The 23,935-nt window shown below is 36.9% G+C and overlaps 1 protein-coding gene across 36 annotated transcripts in view, besides 2 other annotated features; it reads right to left on the bottom strand.

Annotated features, from left to right (window-relative positions):
• PTPRM (protein tyrosine phosphatase receptor type M) overlaps positions 1 to 23,935 on the bottom strand; it is an 839,541-nt gene that overhangs the window by 310,947 nt on the left and 504,659 nt on the right. For all 36 annotated transcript variants that reach the window (XM_011525708.3, XM_047437715.1, XM_011525712.3 and 33 more), the window contains 3 exons: positions 19,346 to 19,455; positions 10,038 to 10,239; positions 7,059 to 7,161 (listed from right to left, as the gene is read on the bottom strand). In XM_011525708.3, the coding sequence (XP_011524010.1) occupies positions 7,059 to 7,161; positions 10,038 to 10,239; positions 19,346 to 19,455 (415 nt within the window). The remainder of the gene's footprint in view (positions 1 to 7,058; positions 7,162 to 10,037; positions 10,240 to 19,345; positions 19,456 to 23,935) is intronic.
• Positions 6,573 to 7,121: an enhancer, noted in NCBI's record as "NANOG hESC enhancer chr18:8088787-8089335 (GRCh37/hg19 assembly coordinates)". NCBI's record gives its function as "activates a minimal SCP1, AML or CMV promoter by ChIP-STARR-seq in primed H9 embryonic stem cells {active_cell/tissue: H9 hESC(primed)}" and the evidence as "EXISTENCE:reporter gene assay evidence [ECO:0000049][PMID:30033119]".
• Positions 10,988 to 11,854: an enhancer, noted in NCBI's record as "OCT4-NANOG hESC enhancer chr18:8084054-8084920 (GRCh37/hg19 assembly coordinates)". NCBI's record gives its function as "activates a minimal SCP1, AML or CMV promoter by ChIP-STARR-seq in naive H9 embryonic stem cells {active_cell/tissue: H9 hESC(naive)}" and the evidence as "EXISTENCE:reporter gene assay evidence [ECO:0000049][PMID:30033119]".

The raw sequence follows: 23,935 nt of genomic DNA, 5'->3' as shown, positions 1-23,935 counted from the left end.
GTGATTTCCAATGAATTATTGGAAAGTCATTGCTAGGCTAGTTTTTCAATTTCAAGCGTTCTAGTATTCACTTTAACAATACCCCAGACAGTATTTTTAACATCAATATATTCTCTTTTTTTCCTTCTAAAAAGGACTAAGTGTTTTTGATTTCTCTAAATCCTATTTCTAATGAAAATCAGCATCTGGCATTTATGAAACCCCCTTCCTCCATGCCGCCAGGGTTAGCTCTATCTTAACTGGGCCCAGCACATCCTCCAGCCTTTATGCCGCTCCTATTAGTTTGTTCTGAGGCCGCACGCCCTCTAACCCATCCTCCATTGCTGCTGCAGCTCTTCCTTACATTTTTTCCCTGACCTGAATCCCTTGAATGGCTACTTATTGGTATGGAGTACAAGGTTGTCCAATTCATCCTCTATCTCCCTTGCTTCTTCTCCCATCCCACCCCTCTCTCTGATTATAACACACTTCTCATTCTCAGATCAGGCCAAACTCAGTCCTCCCTGTCTTCATGGAGCCAACCTGTCTCTCTCATTTTTTTATTCCTTGCCACATATCTAACCTCCCTGGCAACATACTCCACATCACACAGATGCTCTGAACAACAGCCGTCTGTCAAGATTCAGCTACTTGGCCCCAGGGTTACCTCCTCTCTGAAGTCTTAGCTGACTCTTCCCTGTACTGACCACTCCCTGGTCAGGCCACTGGTTCCCATCCTCATCCCTACTTACTACAGGACACTAGATTCCATGTTGCTCTCTTTCCAATCTACATTGCCAGCCCCTGGAGAAGAGAGCCCTTAGCAGCCTCCTCCATATCCCCAATGCTTAGCACCACCTTGTGCTTGAACCTCATGAGTATTTAACAAATCCAATCCTAGCACAGCTGTAAGATATAAGGGGTATTATCCTTGCTGTGGAAAGACAGGCAAGCCCAGGCTCAGAGACCTTAAGATGGAATTTTTAACAGTGGCGTAACTACAAGTGGAGAGAGCCTGGATTTGAAACTATGCTTATCTAATTTCAAAATGTGTCCTTCTCTATGTCATGCACTCGTTTTAAAAATTAGGCCCATAATTTATGTGATATATAAAGTGAGTGATTATTTGAATATTAGAAGTTTCCTCCTTAACATTTGCCAAAGGAAGAATGAAAAATTCTGTCTAAAAGGCTATGTGCGACACTTGATATGATCTTGTATCTTAGGGGCAATAGTTGTATTAATTATTAATGGATTCAGTAGTTTCTAATTAATTTAGAGTAAGCATTATTTAGATCTGGAAACCATATATTGATTTATTTTATTTATATTTTGTTTTAAATTTTTAAAATTTAATTATAATTGAGATAGGGTCTCAATTTGTTGCCCAGGCTGGTCTTGCACTCCCAGGCTCAAGCAATCCTCCAACCTTGGCCTCCCAAAGTGCTGGGATTACAGGTTTGAACCACCGTGTCTAGCCCCTATATTGATTTATAATAGGCTAAGTTAAAATAAAGCCACTTTAAAATTTATATTACAAAACATTTATATCTTTTTTTTTTTTGAGACAGGGTCTGGCTCAGCTGCCCAAGTTGGAGTGCATAATCACAGCTCACTGCTGCCTTGACTTCCTGAGCTCAAACAATCCTCCCACCTTGGCCTCCCGAAGTGTTAGGATTACAGTCATGGGCCACTGCACCTGGCCAGAATATTTATATCTTAAGGTAAACTTTGCATTGCAAGGTTTTACACTATAAGTTTTTTGTTTCTCAAAATAATATTGTCATTCCAGCAGGAAAATACTATAAAGGGATAAACTTTTTTGAATAAATAATAGAATTTAGCTGGCTCCTCTAAGCCAGGATCAAACTCTTGAACAAACCTATTCTGATTAAAAGAACAAATTCTGGAATCTGGGGAGTGAATTCTAACATAATTATAAGGACTGAATTATTATAAAATGGCATGTAAATCACAAATATCTTTTTTTAATAAAGTGGAAAGAGATTCATATACTTAAAGGGTGACTAGAACATTAGGCTTTGTTAAGTTACGTAAGTAATACATCTCACTGGTTCTTCATACCCATGGCACATTGTGAAATTTACTATGTTGCCAAGTGTTTATTTCCTTTTAGAGTGGTTATAAACAGAAGACCGTTTTGCTTGTTTTATGGCTAAGTTTATTCAGTTAAGCTGATAATAACCACAATCACATAATGATTCAGGGATCAATAGGGAAACACATCCATTTTTTTTTCTGAGTTATTATATAGATTTGGGGTCAGGGGAGTTTGCTAATTATTTATAAGATCAATTCCTGAAAACTTGCAAATGCACAAATAAACTGGTAGCTCCTTGCAATCAAACTTAAGATTCATCAGAGAAATCTGAATTTATATGAATTCTATTTATGATTCTGTTGATAGAGGAAATAATTATATTTTTCATGTAAAATTAGATTTTTCATGATATCAGATTTGAATAAAATGAGACGAAAAAAGGAAATGCTGGAGGACCAGGGCTGGTCTTATGAATAGAAACGTGTAATGAGAACTACTGCTAAGGCAAGAGTAAACACTTACATGGTGCTGAGTATGTGCAAAGCATGGTTTGAAGTGTTAAATAATATCACCTCATTTAGTCTTCACAAGAACCCCATGAGGTTGGCATGCTCAAAGGCTCCTAGCGTGGAGAAGAGAATAGGATGTCTAGGAAGGTAGTGTTAATGGACTGAACATCTCTTTCCTTGGACTTACGGACAGTGAGATAAACAAATGGGTTGCTGCTGCTTGAGAAAAAAAAAAACATGCTTTATGCTTCATAACCTTGAACTACTAAACCATAACCATTTGTATGCCAACAACCATAATTTCTGAGAAACGTTTTAAAACAAAAATGCATGATTATCTCCTGTCTTTCTTAAAAAAAATTTTTTTGGTAGAGGGTCTATGTTGGGCCTCTCTATGTTGTCCAGGCTGATCTTGAACTCCTGTGTTCAAGCAATCCTCCAGCCTCAGCCTCCTGAGTATAGGCACACACAACCATGCCTAGGTTGGGACTGCAGGCACATACCCATGCTCCGCTATGTTTTTTGTTTGTTTGTTTTTGTTTTTTAATTTTCTTTTTTGTAGAGACAGGGTCTTGCTACATTGCCCAGGGTGGTCTCAAACTCCTGGCCTCAAGTGATCCTTCCACCTTTGCCTCCCAAAGTGCTGGGACAGACTTTCATTAGCAATAATAATCTCTCTCTGGCTTCAGTTCCACATTTGAGGTGCCCTGCTTTCCAAATTGAACACTGCTGTGCTTTTAGGAAGGGTCATGTCAGTATTGGTGAATATGCTCCTTGAATTTGCCAGGGGCACTGTGCATCCTGTCTCTAATACCTACTCTGGAGGCTGAGGCAGGGGGATCGCTTCAGCCTCAGAAGGTCAAGACTGCAGTGAGCTACAATTGCACCACTATACTCTAGCCTGGGCAATAGAGTGAGAACCTGTCTCAAAAAAAGAATAAATACATAAATAAATGAAAGAAAGTTACACTTTTCCATATCTTATTAATGAAAAAACTTTGAATCCATGAACAGACATTAAAATTCTCTCCTACATGCTAGTTTACTGGCTGGAATGATGGAATTGTGTTCTTCTTGGCCATCTCAGGATTTAAATAATTTTATGTGACAGAGCTGATGTGTTGATCAATAAAAAGACAACAATCATTTACATTGAGAGTTTAGTGCAATTTCAAGAATCTACATGAACCAAGCTGAGTGTTTGTAGGGAAATCAATACATGACCACCTTACTTAGTGAAGTGCATAAACGAAATTCGACTGAATTTTCAACATCAATGAATACGGATTAAAAAAAAAATCAAATCAATTGAAAAAAATGGGTTTTGGAAATCACACAATGACAGTATTTTTGAACACACAATACTGTGCAAAATCCAGGAAAGCAAACAGATGTTCGCTTCCATTTCCCTCCTCCTTCTAGTATTTATCTTATCATTTGGGAAAAGCTTTCTTGTACTGCAGTTTGATTACATGTGCATTTTGCAGATTTCCAGATGTGTTCAAATGTTTTAATTTACATTATGGCTTTATATTTAGGTCCATACGATTCCATAATCAGAGTTCTTATTTGTCTAAACATTACATGAAATTGAGAATTTTAATATGCCCTATTTAGTTAGAGGGTACTATACACATTTTTTTCCCCAACCTAGTCTTTCTCGCTATATTGGTCTTCCATCTATTCTACAGATAATCAGTCCAATTATGTTGTCCTATATAATGAATCCCTTGAAGACAACATTCACTTTTCTGCAAAAAAAAAAAAAAAAATCTTTTCGACAGGTGAGGTTGAAATAATTTCCTCTCTCAAATTTGTGCCAACACGATTTACCCATTTAAGATAGGCATCCTTCCAATAAAGATGATGTCTATAGCAGGTTTCCCCATAATGCTTACTGAATGATGCCCCTTAAGGATTGATCATGATTCTAAAATTACAGATGTGAATAATGAACATGGATATATTTATTAATTTCAAGATGCTAACAGGGGAAGAAGGTATTAGAGACTGGATGCAAAGTGCCCCTGGCAAATTCAAGGAGCATATTCACCAATACTGACATGACCCTTCCTAAAAGCACAGCAGTGTTGAACTTGGAAACCGGGATGTTATGACAACTGTAAAAGAGGGTGAGGCAATACAAAGTGATGAAATGATGTAAGGTCTGCAGTGAAAGTTATGTATTTTGGACTCTGACAAGCATTTGGATCTGTATTTTTATAGATGTAAGAATAGGAAGCCTGAGGACACCAAGAACTACCAGTAAGGTCCCAAAGTCTCCGAAAAACAACTAGACATGTGTAAAAGTAAGCAACAACAAAATAATGTCTTAGTGAGGCATATGCTAGAAATAGGAACAGTAGTTTGGAGTGTGCCTGGCACCTTGTAAAGACTAGGGAAGAGGACTGGGAAAGGGGTGCAGGTATATTGCGCAAAGAGCAATTATTTTAAAATTTAGTCTTGGCCAGGCATGGTGGCTCACACCTGTAATCCCTGCACTTTGGGAGGCCAAGATGGGCAGATCACCTGAGGTCAGGAGTTCAAGACGAGCCTGGTCAACATGATGAAACCCTGTCTCTACTAAAAATACAAAAATTAGCTGGGTGCAGTAGCACGTCTGTAATCCCAGCTACTTGGGAGGCTGAGATAGAAGAAATCGCTTGAACCTGGGAGGCAGAGGCTGCAGTGAGCTGAGATAAGGCCACTGCATTCCAGCCTGGGCGACCAGAGTGAGACTCCATCTCAAAAACAAACAAACCAACAAAACTTGGTCTTGGAAAGATCTATACAAAGATGCGAATGAAAATCCAACTGAAAGGGTTTGAAAGTAAGATACAAGTATAGAAAATGTGCAAAAGGTATCCATATAAGAACAAAGTACCATGGGATAACTGGCTGTTTTTGAAAAATGATTAAGCTTTCAGCTTCCTTCAGTTTGGAGGCATTGAATCTGAGTGAACTCTAACTATTCACATGATCATGATGCTTTGCAGTAAAATATTGAGTCCTGTCCCAATGACCCTTTATTGCTGAGTCTGAGCAACTGTTAAGTGGGTCAGAAACAAATGACACTCCCAAGGCCATGGTCAGAGCATACATTTTCATTTAATAAATTTCAGCTTTTAAAGTCAAAAAAGACTGAGCCATGGTCATGGGTACACTTGAGTCTTGGATAGCATCTAATGCGTGCCTTGGGTCCATTGGATTAGTGCAACCTCTCAGTGCCACCCACAGGAATCAACCCAGAGGGCCTGGGGAGTGTCAAGCACATCACTCGAAAGGTAGCAGTAACACTATCTCCAATTTGGAATAGAGATTTTATATATTTCATAGTATTCTCACAAACTGCATCTATGAACAGCAAGCATGAAACCTCATATGAGCTACTGTGTTGCATTATTCTACAGTATAAACTAAAAATTGTTTTAAACATTTTGGAGATTTTTCAAATAAAAATTTCTGTGACTCTTCCCTAATCTGACTTCACTAAAAACTAATACTATTCTGGTTTTACTTATGACTTTATGAACCGAAACCTCCATATATATTTTACTGAATAGAAAGAAATCTAACTGATTGCCTTATGATACTGCAGTGAAAACATGATCAAATATAGCCAGGTGTCAAAACATTAATGAAATCAAATTCTACAAAAGAAACATGAAAATAAACCCTATAATGCCTTAATTGTCAATGTAAATCTTTCTTCCAAGTACTCTATTCAAAGTAATAGATGACTCTGAAGGGAAACTATTCCAAAATACAAAGGTAAAACATTTAAATCCCTCTGAATCAAGTAGAAATTTCACTTATGTAGATTAATGAGTTTATGACAAGTTGATACTCCAGAGCTATTCAGGCATCCTTTGCTCTGTCGTGGAAATAATCAATTTATTTTATTCAGTCACTATACAAGTTATACTTTATAATTGCTTAGCTATATAAATCATCATGGAATAAGATGCGGGCCTAGATGTTGGTAATTAACTCTAATCTGTTCAGATAAAGACTTCACAATGTTCTTTCCAATAATCTGTTATTTTTTCAAAAAACTATACATCTCATATTTTATTGAGAAATTAGCCAATTTACTAAAAAATAAATGACATAAAACCCAAAGTAAACACACAAATGAAAAAATCGAAACATCCATTCAAAGAACAGAGCTGAGAACAAAAATGTCATCTGCCCTTGGGTAACCAAATTGCATCAAGCAGTCACCTTTTAATTTAAAACTACCTCCTCAACAGACTAGTGCTTTGTTCCTTATCTTCAAAAGAACAACTCACTTGCATCAGAATAAAACCCTTTAAACAATACTTGATCACCTTACATCAAAGCCCTTTCATTTTCCTCAGTCATTACTTTTAATTAGAGCTAATAAACATATGGATTTACATGCTGGCTGAGATTTGCAGCAAATCCCTAGAAAACACATTGGAGGAATTAATCAACTTGATTTAGTTTTCTTCTATCTAGAGCCGGCCCAACCCTCTGTTCCATACCTGACAGGTGCTCCTCTGCTGTGGGCAGGTTTCAGCATGACTGTCACGGTATTGTCAGTTTGATTCAAAGGTGTCTCAAGTTCATAAGCTGGCATAGAGGGTGCTGGGGAAAAAGGCGTAGAATGGGAGACTCATTATTTCTGGTTTATCTTCTCAGTTTAGTTTCCACTTTCTTTTACAAAGAGCATTAAGAACACAGTGCATTTACTTTACATTGCAGCTATCAACAACCACGAGCAAGCTTCACATATATTCCCTACATAGAATCACAGGGACAGCTGCTAAAAGCAGCCCATACTGTCCTCTGTGATCTTGAGTTGAAGTTGGGAGATGGTATGAGGGGGCTTCTAAGGTGTGAGTAATATTCTGTTTCTTGATTTGGATTCTGGCTAAATGAGCATAGCTTGTGAAAAATCACCGAGCTGTACACTTACAATTGGTACACTTTTCTGTACATATGAATTCTCAAATAAACTGTTTATGCTAAAGGCATATTTAGGAAATAATCATTGGACTTTATAGTTATTCCATCTAAATCAAGGTTTTTCATGTACCAGACTCATTGGGGATTTAAAGAGGACAGTGGGAGTCAGAGAGATTTGTTGGAATTAATTAGTGACAATCTGTGGGCTCTCAGAAAAGCATGACAGTGGAAAACACATAGGAACTGAAATAAGAAAGGCTTGGGTTTGACTTTTTGCTGTGTTTTGTTTTAATTAGCATAAGAGCTTCTATACATCTCAAAATGGGGGGAACTACCCTCTACGTTTATTATCGTAATTCAAAGAGAGAACAGAGAGACAGGCAAATATAATTCTACAAATGTTAGTTCTCCTCCCAATGTAAATCCTATTTCTAAGGCCAGTTTCCAGCATCTTCCTTCTCTAGACTGTTAAGTCTTATTATGATAGCAACAGAGGTCTTCAGTAATTACGGACAAGACAAATCATTACACGGAGCTGTGATGTGGGAGGGCATACCATATTTTCACAGCCCACTGGTAGAGACTCCTGATGAGAAAGCTAGAGGTCGTTTTCTTGCAAATACAGTTTTTAAAATTGTCTTACATATACAAAAAGATTTGTTTATAACAGATATGGGTTACTTCTGAGTTCCATTTATTGAATGATCTCAGCATTAAAATTTATTTCAATTCTCTTAAAAATTAACTCCAATTCATAACATAGAATTAACAAGAGTGGTTCCCTCTCTTAGGTCCATGAAAATTGAAAACAGGACCTGTAAACTGTAACTGTTTTAAGACTATAAAAATCAAATACTTATTCTTGATGAGCCATATAGGCTAATGAAAATGTCAGGTTGCTTGATTTTCAATAAAATTATTTGAACTTGGCATGCTGAAAGTGGTCAAAACCATTGATTAGAATCTACCATGATTGTGTTTCCTGAGGTCTCCTCAGCCATGCTGAACTGTGAGTAAATTAAACCTCTTTTCTTTATAAGTTACCCAGTCTCGGGTATGTCTTTATTAGCAGTGTGAGAACGGACTAATACGGCCATGTTGATCAGAATTCTTATCTAATAAAAATAGCAAAAATGAATTATTTTATTCAAAAAATACACTCATTATGACAATAATCTTTGTAGTGTAACTTACATGGGAAAAATTTCTTAAAACATGCTTCGAGGTATATATATTGGCACTTATTTCATCTTTAAATCCCCATGATAAATTCATGCGCTAGATAATATTATCTTAATTTGTATGTAGGAGTAAATTTATTTGATCAAAATCAGAGAGGAAGTGCCTGGCAAAATCATAACTAGAACCTAGATTTTTTGATTCCAAGTCCAGTGGTCTTTCTTCTACCAACCCATTTTCTTCAATCTGTGTCAGTTTTCTAATCTCTAATTATTCTAACTTCCCAAAGACTTATTTTCTCTTTCTCAACTCTCCATACTGTTTCTATAACCTAATTCTATACACAGAATATCAAGTGTATTAAATTTCAAGTCAAGTTTGTGCTCATAAAATATTACACAATAAAAAATTATCCCTTGTTATAATTGCTTAAAAAGAAAATTCTAAACCCTCCCTCAAAACCTAGCCAAACACTTACAATACTCTAGTTGTGAATATTCCTTTCCTTCAACTCCAAATGATAACTTTTATTAATACAAAACAAGGAATGAGAGATAAAAGATATAAAGGTCAGGCTAAATATTATTGACCTAACCATGGCTGATAACAAGAGTTAGCTCCTTTCCCTACTTCCACCCCACCTGCTCCACCCCAAACAAAATAGTTAAAGCCAAAACTCAACACTTCCACACTCATACCCAAAGGGGAAAAAATGGGAAAAAATATTCATGCAATTTTTTTATTGCTGTTGTATATCCCATACCAGATGGCAGCTTAATTTCCTCTAGTCTGAAGTACAAAGACATTTTCTGCACAGTTGAACATGCCTAGAAATATTTCTCAAATTACGTCTTTTGTTAGATGGCATAATTAAGTCTCTAAAAGCAAAAAGCTGGAGGCCCTCAGTTCCTGGTACCCTCATGTATTTGCCTCTCTCTTCAGGACAGAAGTTTCTTATGGTAGAGATCCCAAGGAGGCTGATCCTTCAGGAAGCAGACTCTATATGACTGTCTTTCTGCAGAGCTCCCGATGGTTCATGGTTCATTACAGAGATTTTTCCAACAGTACTGCTCTGGCAACTTGGGATTGACAAGGGGATGAGAGTGTCTCAACAGAACCTTCTGCCTCATGCCCAAGTCCTCCAAGACGCCCTGCTAAAACAATAGCCACTTCCTAACATGTGAGGATCTTAAGCTCCCAAATGAGAAATATTTGTAGTACTTCATTTAAAGCTGTGAGTCTGAGCTTCAGGCATCCAGGAGTATTCCTTTGGATACAATGTTAGTGTGGGCGAGCTTGGCATACTTGACAATGGGAATGAAAACGGACAAAAATGTTACTTCTGATAAAAGACACAACTCACGAATGTAGAGTACCTGATATTTTGGTGGTGAACTGGTTTGTTGCTGGAGGCCCAAAACCCTTAGCTGTGCTAGCTCGGATGGTAAAGGAGTATGTGGTCCCCGGATACAGTCCAAAAAACAGAAAATGGGTTTCATTTCCCAGCTTTGAAACTCTTCCACTCTGATTGGATAAATCTATTTCTGGGTCAAAGGAACTGACTGCTTTGTAGGTGATCTGCAAAAGAATGAGAAAGTGATAAAATATCTGGAGCAGATGGACTCAGATTGCATCTTTATCCAATAAACCCTTCTGATGTATGCACTGTCAGACACTTTATGATAAGCTCCTACTCAGACTCTTGAAATCCTGAATCCACTGAAGGGATGAAGGAACTCCGCCAAAGCTGCTGAGTTATTACTTTTATAGACAGGGGAACTTAAGCCAGTAGATTAGAATATACAGGATGAGTTCGGGGTTAAGCTAATACTTTGAAGTTGTTTGCTTTCAAAATGTCATTTTGTAAAACTACATTACAATGGGTTTAGAACAAAATAAGAAAATATACAACTAGCTCAAACAGATAAGATACTGACAAGGATAAGGCCTCATCTTTAATCTAGTGGCCATAATTTGACTTAGGATCATTACCTATTGGGAACGAGGGCACTGAAGTGTTTTCATCAATGTGGGTGAGGACATCTGCTCCAATGACTGGAATCCTAGACAGATTCCAGTCATTCCTGATGCTACAAATAGAGTGATCATTATGGGTCATATTAATTTCTTTTCTTTAGAGCAATGTCTTCCAATAGAACTTTCTGAAATGATGGAAATGTAGCCACTAGCCACATCTGGTTACTGAGCATTTGAAATGTGGTTAGTGAGACTGAGGAACTGAAAATTTGAATTTAAATTGCCATGTGTGATTAGTAGCTGCCATATGAGACAGTGCAGTTCTAGAAGTTTTCATGATACTAGCTACATAACAGATATTCAAAGCATGTTGGATGAGTCTGAAGTGTTTGAAAATAAATATAACATAGGTGCCTTTAAATCCTACCCTTTCAAATGATATTTTAAAGAATTTCACTATGAGTAGTTCATCAACTATTCAAGAACATGCACTTTAGTGGTGATTACTAACTTCTACTGGTTGTAATGACATAATTTTAAAATGTGGCATATTCGAAAGTTTTAAATTGCAAAACTGAGCACTTTTCTTGCTTTTAAATAGGTAAACTTACTTGTAATTTATGTGCATGAACACTAACACTGTTATTATACGAAGTGATAATTGACATTCTTTCTTCTTATATTTATACCATGTCATTACAATTAGGAAGACCTCTCTGAAAGAATATTTAGATTGAATCAACTAAGCTTTAGCAAGAAAACTGTTTGCTATATATATTAATCACTGCACTGCATGACACTATTGGAGTCATGCAGAGTATCTATTGTTAATCCTCTAACAGACTTCCTCTGCAAGGTTAAGGAAGTCAAGAAGAGACAAAGCCAATCTACCCCCTAGTGGCTGAGCGAAGGACGTCAGCGATGTAACCGCTGTATGATTACTTGGTCCTCCATTCGGATACCTCCAGGGAACAAGGCAGTTTGGAGGAGACGGATCTAAACCTCTATTATGAATGCATAATTGCTTCCAATGTTTACTCACTAATTCACCCACACATTTGAAACATATTCATTGAGCCCCTCTCATGTGCCAAGCACTGTGTTCGGAGCTGGGGTCTTGCATGGTGCTTTAGGAATCGTACCTTCCCCGAAGGAGGTATCAGTCTGGTAGGGGAAGGGGAGAAGTGATCCAACAACTATGACAAAGTATAATTAAAATGAGGACTGACGCTGCCCACCGTGGCTAGCTTAGTGTTCTCATTCATTTTATTGCCTGTCTAGAAACCTTAATGAAACATAAATGCATACGAGAGAAAGCCCAAACTCCTTAGTTTTGCTCTCACCTTCTCCAAACTTACTTCTGAATCTGTGATACTACACCATTATATTCCTTTCTGTTCTGGTCAGAGGATAAAGACTAACTGCCCTACAAACACTAATGGGGCTTTTCTGACACTGCTTTTGCTCGTAAGCTTTCACCTGCCTGGAACATGAGACAGTTAGCTCTGTTTCCATGTTTTCTACCTATTCAGATTCATTTACTTTATTCAAACATTGATTGAACACTGACACTCTGCAAGCACCATGGCCAGCAGGTAAATACACGCCCTGTTTCAGATAACTGAGAATCTGGACAGGGTGGGATGGAGCTGGGGAGGCATACAGTAAGTAAATGAATACTTTCAAAACACCAAGTTCCATGGAAGAAACGAATAGGGTGCTAAAATAAGGAGAACTGTCAGGGGAGAGAGGTTATTACACAGCCACTTAGAGTGGCTGGGGAAGGGCCCACTGAGATGTCAGTTAAGCTGAAGAGATTTGAACTTTCCCAAGGAGTTAATCATGCTGAGAGTTTGGGGAAGAACAGTAGGAACTAAGGCAGTGAAGCGGGAGTGAGTGGGCACAGTATATGAACAGAAAGGAGGTCGGTGTGGTTCCTTGGGGGCTTGAGAAGTGGGTAGGACCATACTGTACAGTGCTTTGCACCCCAAGATAAAAAGTTTGGATACATACAACAGGAAGCCCTTGAACGTTTTTAAGCATGAAAATAAAATGATCTAATTTCCCTTATAAAGAGTTCACCCTGACTGCAGGTGGAAGGTTGATTTGATTGGTGGGGCAATTGAAGTAGTAGGGAGGGCACTAGGAAGTACAGCAGAGTCCAGGGCCTAGAGCTATAGCACAAGGGAGAAAATACAGGGGCTTGGAATAAGGTGGGGCTGGTACAGACAGCAAGAGATGAAAAGAATTGGCATCTTTTAGAGATAAAATGGACAGAACTCAGTGAAGGACTGGATATAAAAAAAAGAGGATGGAATAAAGGATAGGTTCCATTTTGGGCTTGATCAGAAGACGGTCCCATGTATCGAAAAGAATGGAACATATGAGGAGAAATTTACAGACACAGGTGGACATACTAAGTTGGAAATGCCCACGGCAGTCAGGTGGACACACATGTATGACATGAAGCTGTGATTTGAAAGGACTGGGCTGGAAGTGAAGACTGGGGGTGATGAACATTGAGATGATATTCAATTCTGGAATGGAGGGGGTCACTAGGGAAGGAAGTTTAGAAAAAAAAGAAGGGAGCCTGGTACCACTCCCTAATGAATGTAGGTATTTAATACAGGATAGAGGAGGAGAAGCCAACAGAAGAGCCAGAAATGCAAGAAGAGAGCCAAAGGAGAGAAAGCTGTCACAGAAACCAAATGAAAAAAAAGCAGAGAGAGAAGGGGAGAGAGGGAGGGAGGGTGAGAGGGAGGGAGGGAGAGAAGGAGGGAGAAAAGGAGGGAGGGAGGGAGGGTTGGTTTCCAAAGATGAGACTGGGACAAAAAAAGTACCCATCCATGTCCCAATCCAGAGTTCTCATTCTGTGTATCTGTAAAGCCTTCCTAAACCTGGCCTAACAATCACTAGATCCACTGAATGCCTGTGTTGTGACTATTCATACAATTCACTGGGCAATGAATCTTGGAGTACTGTGAAATCTCTTCTTTGATCTTAAATCATGATTTAAATATACCAGAGGAATTGGAACATTTCATGTAATTGTATCTTCTTTCTGAGGAGTGACTGATGTCTTATTCTTTTCCTGATCCCACTGTGATCAGTAAATATTTGGCACTCAGTATCTATTTTCCTAAAACTACTCCTGGGGAGAGCGGGTGTGTGCATCCGCTCATGTAAACACTCAAGACAAGTGGGATCTTTGCTCCACCCACAGAGACTATCAAGCAAACGCTTTACTAAGGGACTTGTTGTTCCAGCAGGGCTGATGGGCTTGGACTTGCTGAAAGCCTTGTGGCTGCAAAATAACACTGGGGTTCTTAGCTGGCTTCCAGTCATAGCCCTTTGACAATTTGGTAAAAATTAGACACCTTCTCTTTCCTACTTCTAAAAAACACATGTATACACTAATTCATGCACTCCTAAAAATTACAGATCCTCTCCCTCACGCCTAACAAACAAATATGTTGGGCATGTATATGTCCACCAAATGTCACAAAGGTGATGGGTTTCCCCATCTCAGACCCATCCACAGAGCCCTGGAGTCTGAATATCAGAATGAGAAAAGCTTCTCGGCAGCAGGGGCACTCTAACTCTACAACCCCACTGCCTGCCACAGAGCTGATGGTAGACATTCACCAACCTCAGCAGCTGCTCTAAAGGGCACCAAAATATACTCCCATGCTCAAACTCAAATGTCCATATGGTTTCAGCTTTACTTTTCCACTTGTTCATTCAATACATGCTTATTAAGTGCCTGTTAAGTACTTCAGTACAGCAGCAAACTACAAGAAGGAAGTCTGGAAGCTTCTGTACTTGTACTCTGTCCCTGGCTGAAGGTCCAGGAAACTGTAATGAAGCCTCTGTAAAAAACGTTGCTGCAGCAGTGTTGGATGTAAGTAATTTTATGGGAGGTGCCATGTCAAAAGCAAACTGAGATCTCAACATCATGTGTGAGGGTTAGATTTGGGTGAGATGGAGTAAACTGTTGCTTCTATTGGATGATTTCTGATTTGCAGGTAAGTGCCTGAAATCTTCCAAAATTGTCTTCCCTTTCTCTACTTAAAGCCTCAAATTCTAAACTGAGAGATTCATGGGAAACCAAGATAGAATAACATGCAATCTTTGACTTGCATGTTATAGAAGAGGGGAATCAAAATCTTCTAGACTGTGAGTTGATGGTAATTCCAGCCAGCATAAAACACCATCCTCTAATTGAGGTTTAAGCAATTATTCTGAGAAAACAAAGGAATGAATAATTAAATCTGATTTTAGGGGAGGAAAGGACCTAGGATATTTCAAGGAAAAGTAAAGTACTTGAATAAAATACTGAAAGATAGGCAGAGCTGCTATAGGAGGAGAGCGATGGGATGGCACAGGCAGAATGAATCTAAGCAAAAGCAGGGTGTGTGATGGCTCAGAAGGCTCTTGGCGAAGAGACAATTTCATATACATGGCTCATTGAGTTCCAGAAGAAAAATAGTAGGAGATGGCGTTATAAATATAGATTTGGGTTGGATCACAGAAGCCCTTGAGTATTGAAAACAAACTTCTTAACATGGCCCCTAAATTCTCATTCCCTCTACATAACCACCTATCTCAGCTGATGGTGACTAACAGCCCAGTTATCCAGGCTAAGGATATTAAGGTGTCTTCAACTCTAGACTCTTGAATGTCCCAATCAGCTGGCAAATCTAGACCATTCTACTTGATTAAAGTGCCCAACCAAAACTGCACTTGATACTCTAGTCACACACTCATGTATTGAGTCCCTAAGTTTGGAACTCATTTCATTCTTTCTATAGTTGGTTGCTGATGGGGTAGTTACTTCAACAGAAAAGGAACAGTACCTTTTCTACTTTTGTCTTTTTCCAATATCTCAGACATACTAAAGCTTTTAAAACAATCCATGTGTTAGTCTCATGACCAGGAGTCTGGTATTTACTCACTAGAGATATGTAAAGTTAGTAGGATACAATGAAAATACTTGGGCAAATATCCTTGTACATTGGGGAGTATTACTAATAAACTTCTAGAAATAGGTTTGGCATACTATGTTTACATTTTGATAGAATCTCCCTAATTGCCTACAAAAAAAAAGACTGCAAAATGTGTGTTCCCATCAACAGACTATGCATGTACACATTTCTCCACATCACTGATTAACACTTGATATTATAGAAATTTAAACTTCTGTATCACTTGTAATACTCCATTTCTCAATCATTAGTAAGGCTGGGTAGGTACTTTACCATATACTTACATGCTGGGTGAATTTTTTTTTGAAGTGTCTTTGTCCATTTTATTTCCTAAAAGAGTGTTTTGTTTTTTTCTTATTACTACGTAGCAGGTCTCTATATATTATAGCCACCAGCCTGTTGACTGCTGTAAGTGCTGAAAATAATCTCTCCAAGTCTTCTGTTTGTACTCAGACCTCCTTCATGGTATCTTTCATCATTCAGAAGTTTAAAATTTTATATAACCAAATCTGTCAATCTTTATTTTTAATGACTGCTGAGTTTTATATCAAGCTTAGAAAAATATATAACAAAAATGTCTTCCTACCTTTTTCTTAGAAGGTTCTTCTAAACTTTTGTGTTTAGATCATGAATCTGGTGTTTATTTTTGTATGATGTGAGGTGGGAGTCTCATATGGTATTTTATTCTTGTAATAAAATGCTGGGTTTGATAATATTTATTAAACTGCATCCATTTTATATTCATTAATGAATTTGCACTACAGTTTCTACCTTGTAAAATTTTAGAAGGATGTGTATCTAGCTGTTAATAGTAGTTACATTTGAAAAGTAAAATTCGGAAGCAAGGATATTTTATTTTGAATACTTCTGCACTTACAAGTATTCTTTCAGAGGGCAGTATTAAATTGACAACTCGACAAAATAAGAGATTTTGATAGCTACTGAGTAAAGGTGTAATGATCAGACCCAGGTTGTAGGAAGATGATTGACAAAATTAAATGACTGAGGTGGAGGGTAACGTACGAGAAGGACTTGAGCCAGAACGAAGACAAGGTCAGAGAGGCAAGGCTAGTGCTGGAAGGCTGAGAATGGAGTCAGAGGAGTGAAAAGGAGAAAGCAAGGAAGAAAACCAGAAGAATGATGTAAGGCTGTGAACTGCCATAACTCCTGGAAAAAACAATGCTGTCAGCCGTTTTTGATCATTAATGCTTTTGTGTATCTTTCATAATAAGCAAAGAGAGAACAGAGAATAATCTAAAGCTACAGCATATTCATTTCCAGCACTGATATGGTCTGGATGTTTGTCCCCTTCAAATTTCATGTTGAAATGAGATTCCCAATGTTGGAGGTGTTTGGGTCATGTGGGCAGAACCTTCGTGAACGGCTTTGGGCCACCCCCTTGGTGATGAGTGAATTCTTGCTCTGAGTTCACAGGAGAGTGTGGCACCCCCTACTTTGCTCTCTCTTGCTCCTGCTCTCGCCATGTGACGTGCCTGCTGCCCTTCACCCTCTGCCACATTCATAAGGTTCCTGAGACCCTCGCCTGGAGCAGATGCAAGTGCCATGCTTGTACGGTCTGCAGAAGCATAAGCCAGTTAAACCTCTTTTCTTTATAAGTTACCAAGCCTCTGGCATTTCTTTATAGCCAAACAAGAGCGGCCTAATACAAACATCAACAATATTCCATCTGTGCTTTCTTCTTTCCTTCAAAAATTATCCTGTGTGCTGCCTCCCTTAAAGAAACACCTGTGTCATTGGTTACTAAACTTTTTTCCAACCATGGCAATTTATCTCACCCTCTGATTTTTACCAGTATTCAAATGTGACTCCATGACAGAAAACAATGTTGCCATGGTCCCTGCTTCTTTTGGGGCAAGTGTTTGATTTCCTTAGCGTGATTTTGTCTCAGAAGTCTGTGATTCTCCAGAGAGGTACTGAATCTGGGTCAACATGTATCTTCAGCTCCGGGAGGAAGCTGTATGTGCCTGTTGTAAACTCTGGCATAGGCTGGGTGAATCGTAGCTCACAGGTGCATTTCAGCTCAAGAAGAGCTCCTCCTGAGACTCCACCTAAGACCTACCTCGAGGGAGCTGGGGACTCCCTTCCTTCCTACTTGTAGAAAACATGGGAAAGGGAGAAAGACTTGTTGGCCAGAAAGCTTGTATTTAATCACTTTGGCCTGGATCACATATTTCCCCTTTGGTCCCTACAAAACTGAACCAATCTGTTCTACTTACACATATCTGATTTTTAAAACCCTGATTTATGACACATTCATGCATCCCCATTGTAGTAGTATTTAGATCAGTGTTCAACTGGGTAGTCCTGGCTGCAGAATCAGAGAGACTAATGGGTTTTTCCTTTGAATTATTATTCCCATTGTTTTCATGTTAAAGTGACTTACCACACAGAGATATATCTCTTGTAGGATTAAAAAGAAAGAATCTGTTAAATATTTTCTGTCTGTCTAGATAGCAACATGTGGCTTTTAGGACAGGTGAACTTACGGCTTGGAAATTAAAGTTGATTTCAAAGATTGCATGTTTCCTAGTTTAAAATCCTGTTACTAGGTAAAAATCCCCCAAAACTGAGACCTAAAAATGGCAATGGGGCCAAAAATAAAAACTAAAAGATTCTCATCACTGAGAAAAAATAATATGAACTTGTTTGATTTGTTTATAACACTTAGCTCTATAAAAGCTGAGCCATGAATTTTCATAATATTCAATTCTTTTACAATGAAGCAGCCAATGAACAGCATCAATAACAGTACAAAAATCAACTTTTTTCTTTTATCTTTCTTCGCTTAGCTTTGAATTAATTTTTGTGTGTGTTTCAATACCAATTTTCAAAAATTACAAGGAAACATAAATGTGAGGCTAGTTGGGTCAGGGAAGGGGTTTACTGGTGATCACTGTCTGACAGCTCATCTTTACAGGCTTTTGTCAGTAGTTCTGAAAGGTATTCAAGCAGAGGTTCCATATGAGAATTTGCCACGATTTTTAGAAACTTTACAACATATAATTTTGTGGAATTTGCATTCAAATAAATGCTAGCTTAAAAAAACACACCTGCTTGTTTCTATGACAATAGGCATAGTGAAATGATGCTTGCACAGATGTGATGATGAATGTCACCCTGTTATTGCTGTTACTTTTTTCCTTGAACAATTCATCAAATTCTTCTCTGCTATCTATCATTCAACCATTTGATATGCCTCAGTAGACAAAACTATGTCACAGAAGTCGAAAGGATGTTTTGGTAATACTAAGAAACCAAAAGATATTATTCTATTGTTAGTCCTGAGACAATATTTATTGACTTTGCTAACTGGATAATCAGTGTCCTTCTATAATTCAGTAGTAAAATATTTAATAGCTAAGCAAGAATAGAATTCTGTGTTTGTCTTATAATCAATGCATGTTTCAAAATACTTATTGTTTTTAATAAAGGTAATTTTTAAATGTAATGCTGTGTCTTAACATATAATAACATATAATCTGGAAAGGTCCAACTCATTGTAAAGCTAAATCCTCAAATTATATATAATTCAAAAACTTATTTTTACAATTTTCTTCTATATAACAACCATTATAACTACTGAAAGCATTAAACTTCTTAAAATATATTATGTAAGTATGCATTTTTAAATACTAGATAGCCTACATTATCATGATCATGAGTATTTCTAATTAAAAATTACTAACAAACATATATATTACCTCATATAAAGTGATTACACCATATGTTTGAGTTGGTTCTCTCCACTGAAGAAATATCTTCTCTTCAAAGGTACTTCCTTGTATGGATTCAGTGGGAACAGCACCTGGGACTAAAGGAGGGTGGGAGGAAATAAATGTTTAAGTAATAAACAATTAAAAAGTAGATTTTTCTAGACTTGGTTTTAACCTTCTATTGAGAGAAAAGATTTTAATAGTCCACACATATACTCAATTTTTCTTTAAAAATCTGGAATCTTAAACAATTTTAGCTACACTGTCTTGATTAAAAGAATAACTTTATCATTTTTTTTCTTAAAAGTTTTAATCAATTAGACAGAGCTCAGTCCCATCTATTAAATAAACGTTTTTACTCTTCCAAAAGAAATGAGGAAGGATTTCAAGTGATGAGAATTCTCACATACTCCTTGTGGAAGTGTAAACTGGTAGAGCCACCTTGGAAAATTATTAATAGCATTTAGTAAAGCTGAAGATGCACAGAACATATGACCCAATGGTCCCACGTGCAGGTATATTCCCTAGTAAAATTCTCGCATATATGCACCAGGAGACATATACAAAAATGTTCACAAAGCAGTGATTTTTGTAATAATAATAAATGAGAAACAAGTCAAATGGTTTAGTAAGTTATGTTATAAAATACTGAAAAGATTGAAAGTAAGTAACAGTTATATATCACATGGATTCAAGTTATAACCATAACACTGAATGATAAAACCATGCTAAAAATATATATGAACTACTGTACTAATATATCTATTAAAATACATACAAAGTAGAAGTTGATATAGATGAAATAACAATATAGTCTTTAAACATTATTTTATTTGTTAATACTATATGTGATTTGGGGGAAGTTTGATGCCATTTTTCAAAACTTAAAATACATAACACCTTCTTATAAGTTTGCAAAAAAACTAACAAAAGTGAAGATGTCATTTGCCAGTTTTCTATAAAATAATATTCAATATCATTATAAAATGTTATTTATCCCATCATCATTTTAAATGTAGTTTTTTAGTATGCTTCATGTTATAGACAATTTAGTGTACTAGTATGCCTATCTTATTTACAAAATAGCTATCCTGTTTATAAATATGCATATATTTTGGGGCACATGATCACATTTTTTGGTGATGAAGTGAATGACCAATAAGCAGTCGGAGAGAACTCACCCATCCTGATTTCAAAACTGACTGCAAAGCTACAGTAATCAAGACAGTGTGGTGTTGGCATAGGAGACATATATATCTTTACATAGATAAAGATATATATATATAGATAGATAGATATAGATATGGAATCGAACTGAGAATCCCAGTACTCAAGAAACCCTTACAGTTGCAGTACATTGATTTTCAGTAAGAGTACTGGGAACATTTAATGAGGATAGATTAATCTTTTCAACCAATGCTACTGGCACAACTGGATATCCACATGCACAAGAATGAAGTTGGATTTCTATCTCACACCATATATAACAATTAAATCTGAATAGTTTAAAGACTTAACTGTAAGAACCAAAACTATAAAACTCTTAAAGAAAACATACATATAAATAAATCTTCATGACCTTGGATCAGGCAACAATTTCTTAGGCATGACACCAAAAGCAAAAGCAATGAAAGAAAATCTAGATAAAATGTACATTATCACAATGAAAACCTTTTGGGCATCAAAGGACACTATTAAGACAAGACACAGAATGGGAGAAGGCTTCTGCATATCATATATATAAGAGATTTGTATCTAGACTGTAAAAGTAACAATATTAAAACCCAATAATAAGATAACAAATAGTACAATTAGAAATGGGCAAAGGACCTGAATAAACAGTTCTCCAAAAAAGACAAACAAATAGTCAATAAGCACAGGAAAAGATACTCAGTATCATTAGCTAGCAAGCGCTGTAAATCGAAACCATAATGAGATATCACCTCATACCCACTAGCATTACTATAACGAAAAGACATGATAACAAGTGCTGGCAAGAAGGAAGAGTAATCGGAAACCCCATACCCTGCTGGAGGGAAGGTAAAGTCATGCCGCTACTTTGAAAACACTCCGGCAGTGCCTCAATTGGTTAAACACTGGTAGATTTACAACATAACCCAACAATTTCACTCCTAGGTATGTACTCAGGAAAAGTGAAAAAAATGTTAATTCAAAAACTTGTTCATGAATATACATAGCAGCATTATTCATAATAGCCAAAAAGTGAAAACAACCCAAATATTTATCAAATGGTGAATGGACAAACATATCTCAATAAACTTTTTTAAAAGGGGTTGGAAAAAATGTTTTAGATTGTGAGAGGATATGAGCAGTTTTTTAATGATTGCTAAGACTACCACAGATTGGAAAGCCTGCCTAGGATTTCAAAAGGACTCATAGATAGTATGCCTATTTTTTTGAGATTAGAGGCTACTTATATATAAATGTAGAACATTTACAGTTATTCCAATTAAAGTCAAGTGTTGTTTGGCACAAAAAAAATGCTGATTCATATGGGAGGCCCGGGTTCTGACTTAAGACTAATAAATGATTAAATTGTGCAATTTGGACAAATCATTGAACCTCTTTAGGTCACATTTGCCTCATTCCTAAAATGAAGTTGGATTAAGTTGATTTTTTGTTTTTTGGAAATAGGGTCTTGCTCTGTCATCCGGGCTGGAGTGCAGTGGGGCTAGCATTGCACACTGCAGCCTCAACCTCCCAGGTTTAAGTGATCTCTCACCTCAACCTTCTGAGTAGCTGGGACCATAGGTATGCACCAGCATGCCAGCTAATTTATTTTTAATTTTTGTAGTGATAGGGTCTCACTATGTTTCCCAGGCTGGTCTCAATCTCCTGGGCTCAAGTGGTCCCCTCCTGTGTTGGCCTCCCAAAGTACTGGGATTATAGGCATGAGTTACTATACCCAGCCAAGTTAATTTTAACATTGAAACCCTAAATAGCACATAAATATGAAAATAATTGTTAGTCCTATGTTGAAGAAATTTATATACGACTACATTGAAGCAACAAAAAACATTAGAAATGACAACACTGGTGAGTTCTAAGAACACTGGAATTCCAAGCTCTGAGACTAAAATGTTCATCATAATTAGAAGTTGAACTAAAACAGGCCATGCCTGAGAAAACTCGACTAAGTCTCTTCCTCTTAACCTTGAAAGTGTTTATGATGATGACATCATCAGTTTTCTCACACCATCAAGATAACTAAGATGAGTGACTCTATTTTGTGATAATATTTCTTTTTCTTTTTAAGTGAAAGCAAGATTATTAAGAAAGCAAAGGAATAAAAGAATGGCTACTCCATAGGCGGAGCAGCCAGTGATATTTCTTATTTGAAAATATGTGTTAATCCATGTGCAGATGTAAAGAAGGTGAAGAGTTAGACAAAACAAATATTTGTTTCATTCAATTCGTATAAAAGAAAATACTAACAGTAATATGACACAGGAGGTATTCAAAATCATGTTAGGAAGAGGATATCTCAGAAGGATGGACTTATTAGAATGTACTGGTGGTGACCCTGTGGTAAATGGCAGTAGAATAGTTGACAGGAAACCCTAATGGGGATTCAGATAATCACTTTAAGGTCAGAGAAAGACAATGTAAATTAAAACAATATGAATAAATAATTAATATACTACTAATTAAGTTACGGAAGATAGTACCTCATAGTAACTTAGGTCTAGTACCTATTTTTAGAAGCTCTGGGAATTCAGGATCTGGGATATAAAGCCATAATACCTAAGTTTGTACAACTTATCCCTGGGCTGTATAGGATTCTACTAACATTAATGAAAGGTAAATTTTTTCCCACACAATTTCTGATGAAAAAAACTGTATTTCAATAAAAGTATTATACTATAATAAAACTCACAATGTTCAATGAATTATAACTTTTGTTGATGGATAAACAAAGTGACTCCCCAATTCTTTTCTCTTCAAACTGGATACTGTTTGACAATTATTCTATTTCTTTCTTCTCTCTGCCTTTTCTGAAGTATTTTTTTTGGAGGGGTTACAAAATATAATTTGAAATTAAAGTTTTTTCTAATTAATGAAACGCTAGTGTGCTAGGAAAACAATAGATTTTTATTTGGAAGTAATGCATGCTCCAGCTTCAGGGACTAGCAAGATAATTTAAACAAACAAAGTAATTCTGTCCTCATGTTTTGATGGAATTTAACAGAATTCCTAGCTCATGACAGTTCTCAATTTGAAACCCATAGTGTTCAATAGGTTCATGCTTTAGCAATATATATCTGGAAGTGACTGCATTTTATTTCTCTCATTGATGTAACCATTATTGTTTATTAAAACATGAACTAAATGCTTATCAACAATACTTTATTATTTCATTTAAAGACCTAAGGTATTTTGGGGTGTTTATTACTTACTCAATATCACGCCTATTGCTATAGAAGAAAAACAGACAGTACTTCTTGTCAAGTAGTTTACAATAAAAAGAAAAAAATACATACAAATAACATAATGAGGGAGCAAAGAAGAATCATGAGTGGCTATGAATCATTACAATACTAAGAAAGGCCCCTTTCT

The sequence above is a fragment of the Homo sapiens genome, chromosome 18 (genome assembly GCF_000001405.40).
Source record: "Homo sapiens chromosome 18, GRCh38.p14 Primary Assembly".
Lineage (NCBI taxonomy): Eukaryota > Metazoa > Chordata > Mammalia > Primates > Hominidae > Homo > Homo sapiens.
Note: the sequence above shows the minus strand (reverse complement) of the source record. Positions and strands in the feature narration are given on the sequence as shown.